This window comes from Homo sapiens, chromosome X (assembly GCF_000001405.40).
Source record: "Homo sapiens chromosome X, GRCh38.p14 Primary Assembly".
Taxonomy (NCBI): Eukaryota; Metazoa; Chordata; class Mammalia; order Primates; family Hominidae; genus Homo; species Homo sapiens.
Window position 1 is genome coordinate 37,980,324 of NC_000023.11, and position 16,105 is coordinate 37,996,428.

The 16,105-nt window shown below is 39.8% G+C and overlaps 3 protein-coding genes across 23 annotated transcripts in view; all 3 read left to right on the forward strand.

The window, feature by feature from the left end:
• Positions 1 to 16,105, forward strand: part of SYTL5 (synaptotagmin like 5) — a 239,906-nt gene that overhangs the window by 91,409 nt on the left and 132,392 nt on the right. The gene's annotated exons all lie outside the window — the stretch shown is intronic.
• Positions 10,456 to 10,991, forward strand: H2AP (H2A.P histone). The gene has a single exon (NM_012274.2). It carries the CDS (start codon positions 10,517 to 10,519, stop codon positions 10,868 to 10,870), a length of 354 nt encoding a protein of 117 aa, NP_036406.1. The 5' UTR covers positions 10,456 to 10,516; the 3' UTR covers positions 10,871 to 10,991.
• On the forward strand, positions 13,949 to 14,581 carry H2AL3 (H2A.L variant histone 3). The gene has a single exon (NM_001395555.1). It carries the CDS (start codon positions 14,021 to 14,023, stop codon positions 14,465 to 14,467), a length of 447 nt encoding a protein of 148 aa, NP_001382484.1. The 5' UTR covers positions 13,949 to 14,020; the 3' UTR covers positions 14,468 to 14,581.

Below are 16,105 nucleotides of genomic sequence, written 5' to 3' on the forward strand. Positions count from 1 at the left end.
TCTAGTGGTTCCACAATTAGGTAGTGTGCAACAGTTATCTATTGCCCCAATAATGCTGCGTAATAAACTGGCAAGCCTTAGTAAATCAAAAAACAACCAGAATTCTACTTTCAGTATAACAGTGTGAGATGCTCTGCAAACTCAACCACTTAAAATCTCTAGAAATGATCCTAAAGGCGTATAGCAAGGGAATAAATGTTTAAGAAAATCTATTAAAATTGGTGGGAATAGCAAAAGTCTATGGTATTTGAACTAAGACCCAGCCTATTCTTCTCCCCTTCAAACTTAGTGAAATGGAAACTCCACTTAGGACTGGTACAGCAAAGAACACAGGGTTCCTTCTCCCTCCAGTTTCCATTCCAAGGGCTACCTTTAAGAGAAGTTCAGGACTTCAGCATTTTTTAACCTGCCCGCAGCTACCTGTTGCTAAGGCTAAGTTCTGGACAAGGTGACCAAGAAGTGGGGGCTTGCTTCTTCATCCTAGCCTCCAGTATATAGGATGGAATCTCTACCTTAGGTGTGGCAACATTGAGTATACTGGGACCTGATCATCTTTGCATAGATTCTAATCCATGTGTGATCCACATGGAGAGAGGCAAGCTGAGAAGAACTAATGTTACTACCTATGTTCAGAAGTGTTCAGCTCCTATGACAGGGATGTCACTCAGAGAATAATGTGCCATTATCTCCATTCCCAGCTTGAGAGCCAAGGTATAGAGATTATTCCCCGGAGGAGAAGCAGGCCATAAAAGATAGAACCGTGAATCTCTTCCAAAGGAACTGACTTTATTTGCAAGAGGAAGTGGAGAAATTCAAGCCTAATGGCATTCTCAAAAACAGTGGAAGTTGTTTTAAAAGACAGTTGAGAGTAGATTGCTAAATTAATCAGAGATATAGACAAAACTGTAAGCCGACTGCTTTGCTGGAGAGGAGCTTGGAAAAGGACAGGTGTGATGAGCCCTACTGGGGACAGAACAAATTTTATTTTTGTTTTATTTTTGAGACAAGGTCATCTAGGCTAGAGTGCAGTGGCGCGATCACAGCTTAATGCAGCCTCAACCTCCTGGGCCCAAACAATCCTCCCTCCTCAGCCTCCTGAGCAGCTGGGACTACAGGTGCATGCCACCATGCCTAGCTAATTTTTGTATTTTTTTGTGGAGATGGGGTTTCTCCATGTTTCCCAGGCTGCTCTCAAACTCCTGAGCTCAAACGATCCAACTGCCTCAGCCTCCAAAAGTGCTGGGATTATAGGCATGAGCCACCGCGCCCGGCCTGAGAGCAAATTTTAAACATTGACCTAGGTAACTAACCTGTCAAGAGAGCCCAGACTAGATTGGATCAGTCTATGGAGCAATTTATGCCCTATGTTAGAAGCAACAGAACAATCAGCCAGTAATTAGTGGAATTTAATGGCTGGATGTGATCAGGGAAAGAGAAAAAGAGAGCTCTGCCCAAACCAATGTCATCCCAGGGTAACTATGGTCATTCCCAAGTCTGCACCTCATGAGGAGCAGCATCAAAGGTTTTATACTGCAAGAGAGGGAGAGTGGGTTGAACTACACTTCACTAAAATAATCTAACCAGTCACTAAACAAACAGGCAGAAAACAGTAAGTACTTAGAGGGGACCAATACCCAGAGTTGCCACAACATATTATCTAAAATTTCTGATTTCCAACACAAAATTGTAAGACATTCAAAGAAACAGGAAAGTATAATCCATATACCAGAAAAAAGCAGGCAACAGAAGCTGCCCATGAGAGCAACAAGACATGTGATGTAACAGACAAGGACTTTAAAGTTGTAATTATAAATATCTTCAAAGGACTAATGGAAACTGTGATTAAAGAAGTAAAGGAAGATATGAAAATGCCACATCAAATAGAGTTTACTAATAAAGAGATAGAAATCATAAAAAGGAACCAAATTGAAATTCTGGATTTGAGAGTTATAATAACTGAAATGTAAAGTTCAATAGAGGGCTGACTAGTATATTTGAATGGCAGAAGAAAGAACCCATGAACTTCATGATTTGTCAACTGAGATTGCCCAATTTGAGGAGCAGAAAGAAAAAAAGAATTTAAAAAAATTAAAGAAAGTTCTTCAGGCTGAAAACAAATGATCCCAGATAGTAATTCACATCTATGCAAATAATGACTAAATAAGTAAGATAAACAGAGCACTGGTAAAGGTAATTATGTAATTATGAAAGAGAGTGTACATGTATTTTTTCCTATCTTCTCTTAACTGATTTAAAAAGCAATTGTATAAAGCAATATGTAAATAATGTATGTCATACATGTAGTATATAGAAATGTAATCTATTTTTCCAATAATACCACAAAAGGGGATGGGTGGGAGAAAAGCCATATTGGGTTAAGGAAGTGACTCCAGATGATAGCTGAAATCCACAGAAACAAATGAAGAGAGCCATAAATGAGAAATAAGAAGGTTCATATAACAAAAGCTATAAGTATATGTTTGCTCTTTTTCTCTCAGCTTCTTTCCAATACATAAAATATATAAAATAATAATTATGTCAATGTATTGCTGGGTTTGTAGAATTTATAGATTTAATATATAATAATAAGACCATAAAAATGGGGAAATAAATAGAACTATATAGAAATAATGTCTCTGTATCTCAATGGAATTCAGTTTCTGATAAGTTAACATATGATAAGCCCTAAAGAAATGACTAAGGAAATAACTCAAGAAAATATAGTGAAAAAATAAAGAAAATTCTACAGTAGAAAATATTCATTTAATGCAAAAGGAAGCAGTAAAGCAGTAATATAGGAACAAAAAGGACATGTAAGCTATAAAAAACAAAAAGTAAAATGGCAGAGGTAAATCTAACTATATTAGTAATAGCATCAAATGCAAATGGATTAAACAGTCCAAATAAAAGGCAGTTTGTCAGGCTGAATTAAAAAACAAGATCCAACGTGTGTTGTCTATAGAAAACATACTTTAGATTCAAAGACAAAAATTGATTGTAAGTAAAACAATGGCAAAACATAATCGTGCAAATAACCACAAGAAAGCTGGAGTGGCTATATTAATGTCATAGAAAACATATATTAAAATAAAAAATGCTACTAGAGATAAAGAGGGACATTTTCAAATGATAAAAGGGTCAACCCACTGGGAAGATATAACGATAATGATCATCTATACAACAGAGCACCAAAACATATGAAGCAATAAATAGACAATTTAACAATAATAGAGACTGAATACCACACTTCCAGTAATGGAGAGAAGTAGGTAGAACATAAACAATAAAGAGGATATTTGAACACCACAAACCAACTAGACCTATTAGGCTTGCATACAACACTCTACCCAACAAAGTAGGATGTTTATTTTTCTCAAGTGCACACACAACATTCTGAATAGACCATGTGCTAGGCCATAAAATAAACCTCATTAAATTTAAAAGGATAGAAAAAATGTCCACTGTTTTTTCTTTCCACAATGGAGTGAAACTACAAACAAATAACAGAAAGAAATGTAGGAAACCCACAAATCTGTGGAAAGTAAACGACACACTCCTAAAAAACAATGGGTGGAAGAAGAAATCAAAATGAAAATTAGAAAATAATTAGGGATGAATGAAAATATAAACATCACATACCTAAACTTATGAGATGCAGCTAAAGCAGTGGTTAGAGGGAAATGTATAGATGTAAACACAGATGTATATTTAAAAGGAAAGAGGATCTCAAATCAATAAATTAACCTTCCACCTAAGAGACTGAAAAAAGAAGGGCAAACTAAACTCAAAGCTAGCAGAAGAAAGGAAATAATACAGACCGGAGCAGAAATTAATAAAATAGTGAATTCAAAAAAATAGAGAAAATTAAAGGAACTAAAAGCTTGTTCTTGGAAAAGATGACAAATTTGACAAACTTTTAGCTAGATAATAAAAAAGAGAGAATTCATATTGCTGGAATCAGTAATGAAAAGGGAATATTACTACTGCCATTGCAGAAATAAAAATTATCATAAGGAAAGGCCATGAACAATTTTATTCCAATAAATTAGATAACTTAGATAAAATGGACAAATTACTAGAAAGGCATAAACTACTGAAACTGACTCAAGAAGAAATAGATAATCTGAATAGACTTCTTCTAAGAAATAAATAGATTGAATTAGTAATCAAAAAACTACCTACCAAGAAAAGCCCAGGCCCAAATGGCTTCATTGGTGAATGCTACCAAATATTTAGAGAACAATTAATACTAATTCTTCACAAACTCTTACAAAATAATGGAAAAGGAGGGCTAACTTCCTAAATCATCCTATGATGCCAGCATTGCCCAGATACCAAAGCCAGATAAAGACATCACAAGAAAGGAAAACTACAGACCATATATCTTAAGAATATGGGTACAAAAACCTTCAAGAAAATAATAGGAACTTGAATCCAGCAACATATAAAAAGAATTGTACACCATGACCAAGTGGGATTTATCCTAGCAAGGCCAAGTTGGTTTAACACCCCAAAATTAATTAATGTAATACACTACATCAATAGAAAAAACATATAATAGTCTCAATTGATTTAGAAAAATAATTTGACAAAATCCAAAACCATTTCAAGATAAAAAATATTCAACAAGCTAGAAATAGAAAGGAACTTCCTCAACTTGATAAAGGGTATCTATGAAAAACCTACAGCCAACATCATACTTAATAGTGAAAGACTGAATGTTTTTCCCCTAAGATGAGGAACAAAACAGGATGTCTGCTCTAACCACTTCTACTCAATATTGTACTATGGGTTCTACCCAGGGTAGTTAAGCAAAGATACAAGTAAAAGCCATCTAGTTTAGAAAGGAAGAAGTAAAATTAACTCTATTCATGAATAACATTATCTTATATATAGAATATCCTAAAGAATCCACTAAAAGTCTATTAGAACTAGTAAATGAGTTCAGCAAGGTTTATGGGATACAAGATCAATATATAAAAATCAATTGTCTGAGTTACGAGCATAAATGTAAACAAAGAAAAAATGTTAAAAACAAAAATATCAATTGTCTTTCTATACACTTCCAATGAACAACCTGAAAAGGAAATTAAGAAAAATAATTATAATGCAACCTAAAATAATAAAATATTTAGGAATAAATATCACAAAAGAAGGGCAAAGACTATACTCTGAAAACTACAACATATTGTTGCAAAAGTAAACATTTAAATAAATGGAAAAACATATCATTTTCATGGATTAGAAGATTTAATATTGTCAGATTGGCAATATTCCCCAAATTTACCTACAGATTTAACATAATCCATCCCTATCAGAATCCCAGTTTATTTCTTTTTTAGAAATTCACAAGTGGAACGTAAAATTCATATGAAATTTCAAGGGACTCAGACTAATTAAAAAAATATTAAAAAACAAAATTGAATAACTTACATTTCCTTATTTAAAATGTATTACAAAGCAACAGTAATCAAGACATTGGAACTGGTATAAACATAGACAAATGGATTAGTGGAATCAAATTGAGAGTCCAGAAATAAACCCATACATCTATAGTCAAATGATTTTTGACCATTCAATGGGGAAGGAAGAGCACTATCAAACAAATTGTGCTGGTATAACTGCATAGCCACATGCAAAAGAAAGAAATTGGACCCTTACCTTAGACTATATAAAAAAATTAACTCAAAATGAATCAAAGAACTAAATGAAAAAGTTAAAACCATAAAACTTTTGGAAAAAACATAGGAAAAAAATCTTCATGACCTCTTTTTGGGCAATCGATTCTTATATGTGAAAAAACACAGGCATCAAATGAAAAGAATAGATAAATCGCACTTTATTTTTATCAAAATAAAAACTTTTGTGTTTCAAAGGACACTATTTTTTTTTTTTAAAGAAGGAAGGGCTTTATTCAGCCAGGAGCTTCGGCAAGACTCACGTCTCCAACAACTGAGCTCCCCGAGTGAGAAATTCCTGTCCCTTTTAAGGGCTCATGACTCTAAGGGGGTCCACATGAGAGGGTCGTGATTGACTGACCAAGCACGGGGTATGTGACTTGGGGCTGCATGTACCGGTAATTAGAACAGAACAGAACAGGACAGGGATTTTCACAGTGCTTTTCTATGCAATGTCTGTAATCTTTAGATAACATAACCGATTAGGTCAGGGGTCGATCTTTAACTACCAGGCCCAGGGTGTGGCACCGGGCTGTCTGCTTGTGGATTTCATTTCTGCCTTTTAGTTTTTACTTCTTCTTTCTTTGGAGGCAGAAATTGGGCATAAGACAATATGAGGGGTGGTCTCCTCCCTTATTCCCCCGCTTTGAGAACCTCATTCAATAGTGGAAGTTCTCACTTTTATTCTCACTACCCATGTCTTCTTGCAAGACAGATCAATAGTGATTCATATAGTACACTTGTGCTGAAGCATTTTGGTGAACTAAGGTAGTGATGAAGCTTTTTATCATTTGAAGAAGTACAGGTAGCAAACAAGGGAGCAGTAAGCAGGTTTCTATTACTATTATAACTCATAAGAGTTTTAAATCTTTTTTTATTATTATACTTTAAGTTCTAGGGTACATGTGCACAACATGCAGGTTTGTTACATATGTATACATGCGCCATGTTGGTGTGCTGCACCCATTAACTCATCATTTACACTCTCATTTTTTGCACTCAGGTTCAGCATACTTACTAGCTTTCATTTAAAACATGCCAAATACTTTACTAGTCTGGGGATTTGTCCATGGAATGTTATTTATCTTACCACTTCTCTGACTCATTCCTTATTCTTGTGACAGTTCTAAGGTTCAGTGTCATTTCAACATTCCTCCATAACCCTATGTAAATTACATCCTTAAAATAACATTTAAAATAACATTTTAAATGTGAATAAGTGATTATCAATTGAGAATAATTTTGTCCTCTGGCTACTTTTTGACATCACAACTGGAAGATGCTACTATCTAGTGGATAGGGGCCAAGGTACTGCTGTCCTTTTTTACCAGGAACAGCCTTTATGCCACAAAACAAAGAATTATTCAGTCCAAAATGTCAATAGTGCTAAAGTTTATAAACTCTGCTTTTGATCATGCACAATAAATTTGAAATACATATTTGTTTGGGTGTTTGTTTTAACATCTGTCTTTCCTACTAGACTGGATGTTTCATAAGGATGAGATAGATAATGCCTAGTTTGCTTAACATTGAATATCCAGCATCAACCTCAGTGTCTGATGCCAGGTAGCTACATGAAAGGATGAAACAGCAGGCATGAGGTAAGAAGAAAAGGAAAGGCTTTATTAGGAGGGTATACAAACATTTCTGGGTATAGAAGATGCTGTCAGTGCCCTGTCCATACTCCAACAGCTCATACCATTTAAGTAGATATTTGCCTGACTTTCAAATGTCAGAACCCTTATTTCTTTGTGTGAGACCTTTCATTAGGTCATCAGAGCCCACTGTGCTCAATAATATGACAGTCCAGAACAGTGGGACATCATCTGCCCCTGGAAGATGTGTTTACTACAGCGTTCTCTAAAGTTTTACAGTGACATTAGCTGCTTGATAACGAATACTTTGTTTGCTTCCTTTCCTTCTCTGTCTCAATTCCTCTCTTCCCTGCCAGAGTTTCCTGGGAATAACTCCTGTGATAGGCCGAGTAATGGTCCCCAAAGATACTTAGATCCTAACCCCTTGCACTTATGAATGTTGCCTTATATGGAAAAAGAGAATTCACAAAGATGATTGTGGAAGATGGGAGATTATTCTGTATTATCTGATAGAACCTAAGGTCAATCACACAAGTTCATAAAAGAGTGAGGCAGAGGCGAATTTGACACAGAAGAAGGAAATGTGACTACTGAAGAAAAATGCTATGCTGCTGGCTGTAAATAGGAAGGAAGGGGCCCATGAGATAAGGAATGCAGCTCTAGGAGCTGGGAAAGTCAAGGAAACAGACCCTCCTCTAGAGTCCCCAGAGGGAGTATGGCAATGTTGACACCTTATTTTCAGCCTAGTGAAACTGATTTTGAACTTCTGACCTCCAGGTTTGTAAGATACTAAATGCGTGTATTTTAAAGCTACCAAATTTATGGCAATTCATTAGAGCAGCCATAGGGATCTATCACAATGTTTGGTCCCTGGAAGTGGGTTGCTGCTATAAGAAATATCTAAAAATGTGGAAGTGGCTTTGCAACTGGATAATAGCTATAGACTGGAATAATTTTCAGGAGCATTATATAACAACCTTAGATTATGTTGAACAGATCATTAATAGAAATATGAATGTTCAAAGTGTTCCTGGTGAGAGCTCAGACATGAGGAACACAGTAGAGAAAGTCTATATTGTCTTAGAGAACACCTAAATTATCATAAACAAACTATTGATAGAAATAAAATGTCAAAGGTGTTGCTGGTGAATGCTTAGAAAGAAATTAGTAACATAATATCAGAAAAGGGAGTTTGTGTTATATAGCATCAGAAATCCTACCTGAATTGTGCTCTACAATTATGTGGAAAGCAGGACTTGTAAGCAATGAACTTGAATATTTAGCTGAGCAGATTTTCATGCAAAGGATTAAAGGAATGGCCTGTTTTTTATTGCTGTTTATAGTAAAATGCCAGAGGAAAGACATAAATTGAGGGAAGAACTGTTAAGCAAAAAGAAACCAGAATTCAATGATATGAGAAATTTTCAGCCTATCCAGATTGCAAAAGACACCAAAATTAGGAAATTCATTGCCACAAAATCATCCTCCAGAGATAAAATCAAGGGCGTGGCTAGACATCCTTTTGTTAGTGCCTTTAAGGGATCAAAAGATCAAAGTATTCAATCACATAGATGGTGTTTTGAAGAGATATGGGGTGTGCTTCTCAGAATAAGCAAGGAATAGAGATGGGATTTTCTATGAGGGATCTTGAAGAAGCCTCTTGTCTAATGGCATGAATCCCCATGACATACATAAAAGGCCTGTAAGTTTTTGACAATGTTATATCAGCAGAAACAATGCCAGCTTAGACTGAAAGGGACAAATAGAGGAAGAAATGAAAGAAGTCTACAGGACTCTCAAAATTTGACAGGAGGAAGCAGGCTGATAAAACTACTCAGCTGTAAACATATGCTACCATTCAAAATAAAGGAACAATGACTGAGGGCAGAACCTAGAGGCCAGAGGGCAGATTTATGACCCCAGGTGAAGTCATAGGATCAGAGTCATCAAAGGGAGGAGTCTCAAGCCTTAGAATATTCTCAGGCCTTGAAACCTAATGGTTGGATTTTGAAAATGCTTGGATTTGAGACTCCTTTTTCTTTCCACTTTTTCCCTTGTGGAATGGCAAAGTTATTGGCTGTAAATGAACCAAAGTCAAAGGGAAAACACAGAATTAGTAGAGAAGAAAATTAAATAATAGAAAAGAAACATCTCTTAGTGCTTTGGCTTCACCTAGGAGGGACAAGAAATACACATCTGGGCTTAAACTGAGCACAAGATGCACTTCTCTATCAACTGTTTACCTGGCACTGACAGGTAAACTTATTGAACATCTTATTATTATTATTATTTTTGAGACCGAGTCCCGCTCTGTCTCCCAGGCTGGAGTGTGGTGGCACGATCTCGGCTCACTGCAAACTCCACTTCCCGGGTTCACACCATTCTCTGGCCTCAGCCTCCCAAGTAGCTGGGACTACAGGCGCCCGCCACCACGCCCGGCTAATTATTTTTATTTTTATTTTTATTTTTAGTAGAGACGGGGTTTAACTGTGGTCTCGATCTCCTGACCTTGTGATCCACCCACCTCTGCCTCCCACAGTGCTGGGATTACAGGAGTGAGCCACTGCGCCCGGCTGAGCATCTTATTATTAATTGAAAAATGACTAAAATATATTTTTCAAATGGGGTAAAATCATGACACTCATACAGATATGAAATGAACACATGCTAAAAGAAAAAGATGTTATGACTGCTTCAAAAGGGAAACCAAAGAGTTGATATGGGAATATTCATCAGTAATATTAAATGATTGTGTAAATGGAGGCAAAACTGGTTTCATAAGGTGAAGAACAACCGAACCTCTACTAAAGAATATGCTGTACATGTATCAGCAGCCTACAACTAACAAAAGGCTATAAAAGACTTCACAGATAATGTAAGGCTGGAATCAGATAACCTGCAGTGGTGTCCTAAAGACAGAGCAAAGTTTTCCACTGAAGCACACATTTATTTTTATAATGTCAAAATCAGGTAGAGAGTTATAGTTCCCTCAAAATCAAGGTTCAGTCATTAGCGTGACTAGATCAGTGTCATAGACATTTCTAGGCTGAGGTCTGATAAGGGACCAGTGGACACCAATGAAATCACAAAGTCTAGGGATGTCACAAAGGCAGCTAGCTCCCTGACCAATAAGGGCCTGGAGCAGAGGGATACAATAGGCAGGACTAAGCACTAGTGTCCTCAGAGACCTACTTGAGCTAGAGAATCAAGCAGAGCTGATGAGAGCCAAACCCAGCAAACATCATGTCAGAGAAAAAGAACTGTAAGAACTCGTCTACAAATAACAACCAGACTCAAGACCCTTCTAGAAATGAGCTACAGGTCCCTAGGAGCTTCGTGGACCGCGTTGTGCAAGATGAACGAGACGTCCAAAGCCAGAGTTCCTCCACAATAAATACCCTCCTTACCTTGCTCGATTGCCTTGCTGACTACATCATGGAGCGGGTAGGCTTGGAGGCCAGCAACAATGGCAGTATGCGCAACACTTCACAAGATAGGGAGAGAGAAGTGGACAACAACCGTGAGCCCCACAGCGCTGAGAGTGATGTGACTCGCTTTTTGTTTGATGAGATGCCCAAATCCAGGAAGAATGACTGAAGACTGGGTCCCAGAGCCTTGAAGGGAACCTCACAGGCTTAGCCAGGGCAAAAATGTGTCACAGCTGAGGAATATCTGCTGTTGTCATCAACAAGTGCTATTAAAGGATGTAAATCCATGAGTATGTTTCTGACTCCTCTCAGTTTCTGTCGCTTTGGGTTGTAGGTGTCTGTAAGACATCCAGGGGAAGCTATCCCCAGAGAGCTGAAGGCGGGGAAGGGGTGGCCAGTGTGGTGTTTGAATCAGTGATTTAGAGGGGGCAGTTTCCAATGGTGACAGTGAGGGCGCCGGCCCTGTGGGGAGGAACTGGCTGGGATAAAGACACCGAGACTTCCTCATTGTCTCTGAACAGGAAGGCCTTGTGAGGCCAGGGAGTTGGCTGGGGGCCTCTGAGGCTTGTTGAATTCCCAGCCTGATGCTGGGGCCTGAGGTGGAGCTGCAGACTCTGACTGAGGTGCAGGAGGCTTTATTCAGGATAGCAAAGGTCTGAAGTCAGAGGGCGGTGGCCACAGGGGTGGGTGGAGAGGGGCACACTGGCTGGCATGAAGTTCATGGGACAGGGGCTTTACATGGAGATTGAAGAGTGAAGGAGAAACCATCATGAAAAATGCAAAAAAGAAATGATGGCCTGCTGGATTTCATTTCTTATTTCTTTATGCCCTGCCTTATTATGAAAGCGGATTTGAGACAGGGATTATTAGCTAGTGCTGTGAATATATCTTTTTGTCCTCTCTTCAGGACACTGGTAAAATAAATCAAAAGAATATATAAAATTTATGATCTGGCCTAAGATGGGCAATTCAAGAAGTTCTTAATGGTTGTTAATTATTAATGAATCAGCTTAATTATAAATGTATTTCATTTAAAACACGATTAACAATTTCATTTTTAAATTGAATACTTATTCATTATAATTACCATATATTGCATAGAGCACCAAAGGATTATTAGTGACTCAATCCATGTTTTAAGAGGTATAGAAATAATTCTGTCCCAAGTGGCGGCCTCTAAAGCACATGCAATCCTTTTCAAAACTTCCTGCTCTGTGCTAAGTTTAAAAGAGGTGTCACATCAAGTGTTGTAGCAATCTGTCCCCTTGCCTGTGAGTGCCCACATTTTAGGTTTCCACCTCTTCCTTGGGTCCTTGGGAGCCACAGTCTGCTGCCTGCTGGCCTTTCACAGAGGGTTGGTCAGAGGCTGCACAGCCGGCTCCAACAATGGGAGCTGCGGGCCTGGGTTTCAGATCCCAGTTCACCACTTCCTGGACATGTGATATTAGACCTTCAATTACTCCCTCTGAGCAGTCCTCCTCATGTGTAAAATGGGGGTAGTAAAAGTCTCTCCATCTGTGGGTTTTCCCAAGATTGAGTCCACTTGTGCCTGTAAACTGCTGTTCCACACAGTGCATGCACAGGGTCCCCCTTAATAAACAGTTGCATCTCCTTCCTTCCCTAACAGCAGACCTGTAGGCAGGCTTCCCCAAGGTGCAGTGGTCCTGGTTCTCAGGTGACCACTGGGGACTTAGGCCACTGGCTGTGAGAACCACATCCTGCTGAGCCCTGTGGAGAGACAGGAGGAATTTGGGAATATTTAATTTATGTAAGCAAAAGAGACTTTATAATCGAACACGTCAATACCATCCAGAGGTAGGAAAACTTTACATAATCACACAATCAGAGGTGGAGCTATTTCAGAATTACAAGCACATAGACATATAGGCACAGAGAGATAGAGCTTATAGCTTCAGTTCTACAATTTCAACCGTGAGTCAAGTGTAAATAGAAACAGTAAAGTTCTCTGATCCAAATATAAAAAAAAAAACTGTTCTCCTCTAAGAGAGTATAAAATTCTTAATTGATTTGAGCTATAAATAGACAAATGGACAAAAGACTGTCAAACCAGATTTTCTGTTGTCTTTTACACAACAGAGACTGTATTTCTATGAATCATTAACTCATTTACACAGCTCTCCAGATGGTTGGATCCTAAAACTGAATTCCCAACCATTTGGTCAACAATGAAAATAACTTACCTAATGTCAATGAACAACAACAACAACAACAAAATACAGAATTAGTAGAGAAAAATATTGAAATAAAAATTAAATGTTGAAACTAAAATTAGAAAAACACAATGAACAAAGACTTATTTGGGCTTTGGAGTCACCTAGATGAGGCAAGCAAAGACATTCCTGGGTTTAACCAAGCATGAAGCACACATCTCTGTCACCAAGTTTGCCTAGCTCTGATAGATGAATCCACTGGGTATAACATTGTGACCTTTAAAAACAGGTAAAAGGTATTTTCTAACAGAGTAAAATCATAACACTCAAACACCTATGATATGGAAATGCGTTGAAACAATCGATTAACTCGTGAGGAAATTGGCGGATATTATAAGCCATTCAAAAGGGAATTCAAAGAATAAACATAGGAACATTGATCATGAATGTTTAAGTAAATGTATACATGGAGGCAAAATTGGGAGCAAGGCAGTGAACATGTCTGTAAGTGACTTACAGCTTCTAGAGGGAATGTAAATTAGCTCACAGACAATGCAAGGCTAAACTTAAAGAACCTGGAGTGGTGTCCTAAAGACAGGACAATACTTTCATTGACACAATTTTTTGCTAAAATGTTAAATAGAAAATGAGCTTTTCCTTAAAAATAAGTTCCAGCTACTAGGGCAACCAGGTTCCTCTCAAAAAGAAGTTCCAGTTACTGGGGTGACCAGGTTCCTCTCAAAAAGAAGTTCCAGTTACTAGGGCAACCAGGTTCCTCTCAAAAAGAAGTTCCAGTTGCTAGGGTGACCAGGTTCCTCTCAAAAAGAAGCTCCAGTTACTAGGGTGACCAGGTTCCTTTCAAAAAGAAGCTCCGGTTACTGGGGCAACCAGGTCCCTCTCAAAAGGAAGTTCCAGTTGCTAGGGTGATCAGGTTCCTCTCATGGGCTTTTCTAGGCTGAGGCCTGATCAGAGCCCAGTGGACACCAATGACATCAAAAAGTGGAGGTTGTCACAAAGGCAACTCCCTGACCAATGAGGGGCTGGAGCATAGGGATACAGTGGGTGGCAATAAGCACTGGTACCTTGAGAGGCTCAGGCCAGCAGGAAAATCAAGCTGTGCCAATTGGGGCAAAACCCAGCAATTCCTCATGGCTGGAAACAAAATGTTCTGTAGGCCTAGGAGACAACGCCTTTCCCATTCCAGAAGAGCAGAGCTGCAGTTTCCTGTCAGCCACTTGGAACGCTGCCTGCGAGAAAGTCAGCATGCCCGGCACCTGAGCTCAACCACACCTGTTTTCCTGGCTGGTGTTCTCGAGTATCTGACAGCCAACATCCTGGAAAAGGTGGGCAAGGAGGTCAAGAACAGCTGCAGGCTGTGCATCACCCCAGAACACGTGAAGAGGGCACTGCAAAAGGATGAGCAGCTCAGATGGATCTTGGAGTTGGAAGATGACACCCACTCTCAAGTAGAAGAAATGCCCCAATCTGAGGAGGAAGAGGAGGAGGAGGAGGAGAAGGAGGAGGAGATGGTGGTGCTGGTGGTGATGGGGGGAAGGAGGAGGAGGAGGAGAAGAAGGAGGAGGAAGGATTCCTGAGTTTCGGAGCCATGCGGGACTTCATCAGCAACCTCCTCCAGATGCCAAAATTCCCATAGATGAAAGACCCCAGGTTGCTTCCATCTGCCCAAGCTATTAAACTGTGTAAATGCATGACAGTGCTCCTGACTCGTCTCCGTTTCCGTTGCTTTGGGTTGGAGGTGTCTGTGAGACATCAAGGAGAAGCTATCCCCAGAGAGCTGAAGCGGGGGAAGGGGTGGCCAGTGTGGAGTGTTTGAATCAGTGATTTAGAGGGGGCAGTTTCCAATGGTGACAGTGAGGGTGCCGGCCCTGTGGGGAGGAACTGGCTGGGATAAAGACGCCGAGACTTCCTCATTGTCTCTGAACAGGAAGGCCTTGTGAGGCCAGGGAGTTGGCTGGGGTCCTCCGAGGCTTGTTGAATTCCCAGCCTGATGCTGGGGCCTAGGGTGGAGCTGCAGACTCTGACTGAGGTGCAGGAGGCTTTATTCAGGATAACAAAGGTCTGAAATCAGAGGGCGGTGGCCACAGAGGTGGGTGGAAAGAGGGCACACGGGCTGGCATGAACTTCATGGGACAGGGGATTTACATGGAGATTGTGTTGGGATTGTCCTTAGGGCTATTTGGGAGATATGCTTGTCTGAATCCCAGAAGCCTTTCTTGCCACATGATTTCCACTGAACCTTATATTCCCAGGCAACTCATTGTGAAGATGCCCACCCCACCACTGGATGATTCCTTATGGAGAGCTATAGAGCATTCCTAGCTTTAGCCCAGATGGTCACTTTCTCCTCTGTGCATTTGAGCAGCAAGCAGGCCTCTCTCCAGCATCTACAGGAAGGAAGTCTCCTTCAGCTGATCAAATCATGGTGACAACAGCGCCCTCTCCACTTGCCAAAGTGAAACATCTTTGTTTTCAGGGTATGTGTTCCTGCTAGTCCAGTGTCCTCCATTCAAGTGAGTCCCTCTAGGATGGGTAATGGCAGTGAACTGATCATTTTCCTCAGATCTTGACATGTTGATTAAATAGCTGTCTGGTGTTTAAAAGCTGTTGATGTTGCTTATGGCTGTGGCTTATTGTAGAACTAGATATAATGTCCTGGATACACTGGAATGCACATCTGAGGACTTCATTCAAGGCAGGAGAAGCCATAGTAGGTGGGTGGCCCATGGCAGATGAGTCCCTCTGTGTAGTCAGGTGGTCACCTTACAGTTTATGCAGTCGTCAACACTAACGGTCACTCTGACCTTGTAAGGACCCGGGCTTCTGGGCTCTTTCAGACTCTGTTTCATGCCTGAGGTGGAGTTTGGAGGTTGACCCTGGATGAGCCCCTGTTGCAAGCTCTCTGCAGAGTCAAGGGGCATGGGAGAGTCAGCAGGAGGCACTGCTATCCCTTTAAGAATTGTGCTCAGCTGTGCTCGTGGGTTTCAGAGGAATCGTGGGGGGCCACAGCCAGCATAGCTTCAGACTAATGCATCACCCTGCCAGATCCCCCTTCCACACATGCAAGGAATTCTACACTCAGGGGAGGTGGGGAGGCAGAGAGAATCACTGTTATTGGGAAGGCATGAGCCCACCCATATTTAGGCCTTTTGTGCATTTCTAACAGGAGGGAGGGAAAGGTGAGGAAGGAGTCTCTCTGGCCTGTATCCTGTGGT

What these genes read in the sequence shown, in the direction of transcription:
- H2AP (NM_012274.2), top strand. Translation starts at nt 10,517, where the DNA reads ATGTCAGAGAAAAAGAACTGTAAGAACTCGTCTACAAATAACAACCAG.
- H2AL3 (NM_001395555.1), top strand. Translation starts at nt 14,021, where the DNA reads ATGGCTGGAAACAAAATGTTCTGTAGGCCTAGGAGACAACGCCTTTCC.